Source organism: Homo sapiens, chromosome 6 (assembly GCF_000001405.40).
Source record: "Homo sapiens chromosome 6, GRCh38.p14 Primary Assembly".
Taxonomy (NCBI): Eukaryota; Metazoa; Chordata; class Mammalia; order Primates; family Hominidae; genus Homo; species Homo sapiens.
Window position 1 is genome coordinate 141,813,079 of NC_000006.12, and position 2,931 is coordinate 141,816,009.

The 2,931-nt window shown below is 40.1% G+C and overlaps 1 annotated feature.

The window, feature by feature from the left end:
* Window positions 1,412-2,003: an enhancer, noted in NCBI's record as "H3K27ac-H3K4me1 hESC enhancer chr6:142135627-142136218 (GRCh37/hg19 assembly coordinates)". NCBI's record gives its function as "activates a minimal SCP1, AML or CMV promoter by ChIP-STARR-seq in naive H9 embryonic stem cells {active_cell/tissue: H9 hESC(naive)}" and the evidence as "EXISTENCE:reporter gene assay evidence [ECO:0000049][PMID:30033119]".

Here is a 2,931-nt window from a genome sequence, read left to right on the forward strand (position 1 = left end):
TATGTTTTATGACTCAATCTGTAATTTGAAATCAGCTCCATGTGGGAATAAATTTATTTATAAAGTCTCAAGTACCCTTTCTGAACCATATTCATATTTTTAATTAACTATCTTCCTCATTTCCTGAGACACACATCCTGAGGGTTGTAGGAATGATTTTTCCAGGGACCACCAAGTATACACCAACTCATCTTTGGAGTCTAATTCTTAAGGGTAACTATAATAGAACTTCTGGAGTCTGCACAAGCTTCAGAGTATAAAGTCAAGTCTTTGGTTAATTTTTATTTCTTTGTTTCAAAAAATAGGTTAAAGACAATTATCTTTTATTCTTTATTTCCTTATGAATATAAAGCAAAAATCCAGTTATAGTCTATTTTTCTGCTTTGAATGTGTCCATTGTTTTAATAATGCATGCATTCTTTCTTACAGAGACTTCACCATATAATTGTGACAAAGAATGAACAAAATGGAAATGGTTCCTTCTTTTTAAAATAGGCCCTTTGAGCTGGAAGACTAGAATTTATCTCTCCCTCATAAGCTCTCTCTCTGTCATTCTCTCTGTCTCTGTCATTCTCTCTCTCTCTCTCCATGAAGCATCTTCATATATCTATCTTGTGTTACTTTATATAGTGTCTGGATATTAAGTATGAGAATTTTAAAAGAACACAGCATGTCCCAATATGTGTGTTTTTATTTGGTGTGTTTGGATCATACTTATATCTCATGGCAAGTCCAGAATCAATGTGGAAGGGGACTATGCAAAGTGGTGAACACCAACAGGCATGGTCTCCAAAAAGAGTTCAGTTCAGGCGCTTTAAAAAGAAAACAACATCTGAAGTTCTTGGAAGATCTTTACACTGACATGAAATCGTCCATAAAACTAATAAACAGTAGAAATTAATCTTTTCAATATTTAAGCAAAACATTCATTCAAGATGAAATCCCATATTTCAGTTGTTTGTCATTGTTCTTTATCTGGGTGTAGCGATCTCCATACATTTAAATCTTTATCCCCTCTACATTTTTAATGTAAGGTTTAGTATAATGTTTTCTTATTTTAGATAATGTAAATTTTAAATATGTGGCAAACGATTTTCATATTATAAATAATAATGATGCAGCAAGCTAATGTATGTTGAAAAATGGAAAAGTATAACTGTGTCTACCTCTGTTTCCTCCCAAAGAAAATATAATAAATATGTTTCTATCTTAATTTTCCATATGCTTGTAGTACAACTTACTGGGTTTTAATTTCTTCTGAACCTTCATAAAATAAAACCTCCCATGCCATTGAAACACACACAGTTTTATGCCAACAACTTAGAAGCTCCTTTAGGTAGAGAAATTATCTGAGTATCAAAACTGCTGTGCACAAATAGCACATCATTTTAAATTAACGCCACAACTAGCTGCAAGATACAAATTTTAAAAAGATATTACAAGTTTGAGACACATTTTAAGTGAAGCATGATAGCGGTGCTAAGAAGCAATGCAATTTCATATTTGAATCAAATAACACTTCTATAGCACATTGATGGAAAGAAAAATTCCTACATAAGTTCACGGAGTAAAATAGTTTCAAAAGTTTTTAAGATGTGACCTACCTTCTTTGTCATAATTGCAAAAGTTTTATGCCAGAAAACAGAAATTTATCTTTTGTTTCAAATAAATTATTTTCTTCCTGTAAGCCTATGTTTAAAAATCAAAGTTTTAAATGATTAAAAACTCACTTTCTGGAGGGAGGAGCCAAGATGGCGGAATAGGAACAGCTCCGGTCTACAGCTCCCAGCGTGAGCGACGCAGAAGACGGGTGATTTCTGCATTTCCATCTGAGGTACCGGGTTCATCTCACTAGGGAGTGCCAGACAGTGGGCGCAGGACAGTGGGTGCATGCACCGTGCACGAGCCGAAGCAGGGCCAGGCATTGCCTCACTTGGGAAACGCAAGGGGTCAGGGAGTTCCCTTTCCCAGTCAAAGAAAGGGGTGATGGACGGCACCTGGAAAATCGAGTCACTCCCACCCGAATACTGCGCTTTTCCGACGGGCTTAAAAAACGGCGCACCACGAGATTATATCCGGCACCTGGCTCCGAGGGTCCTACACCCACGGAGTCTCGCTGATTGCTAGCACAGCAGTCTGAGATCAAACTGCAAGGCGGCAGTGAGGCTGGGGAGGGGCGCCCGCCATTGCCCAGGCTTGCTTAGGTAAACAAAGCAGCCAGGAAGCTCCAACTGGGTGGAGCCCACCACAGCTCAAGGAGACCTGCCTGCCTCTGTAGGCTCCACCTCTGGGGGCAGGGCACAGACAAACAAAAAGACAGCAGTAACCTTTGCAGACTTAAGTGACCCTGTCTGACAGCTTTGAAGAGAGCAGTGGTTCTCCCAGCACGCAGCTGGAGATCTGAGAATGGGCAGACTGCCTCCTCAAGTGGGTCCCTGACCCCTGACCCCCGAGCAGCCTAACTGGGAGGCACCCCCCAGCAGGGGCACAATGACACCTCACACGGCAGGGTATTCCAACAGACCTGCAGCTGAGGGTCCTGTCTGTTAGAAGGAAAACTAACAAACAGAAAGGACATCCACACCAAAAACCCAACTGTACATCACCATCATCAAAGACCAAAAGTAGATAAAACCACAAAGATGGGGAAAAAACAGAACAGAAAAACTGGAAACTCTAAAAAGAAGAGCACCTCTCCTCCTCCAAAGGAACGCAGTTCCTCACCAGCAATGGAACAAAGCTGGATGCAGAATGACTTTGAAGAGCTGAGAGAAGAAGGCTTCAGACGATCAAATTACTCTGCGCTACGGGAGGATATTCAAACCAAAGGCAAAGAAGTTGAAAACTTTGAAAAAAATTTAGAAGAATGTATAACTAGAATAACCAATACAGAGAAGTGCTTAAAGGAGCTGACGGAGCTGAAAACCAAGG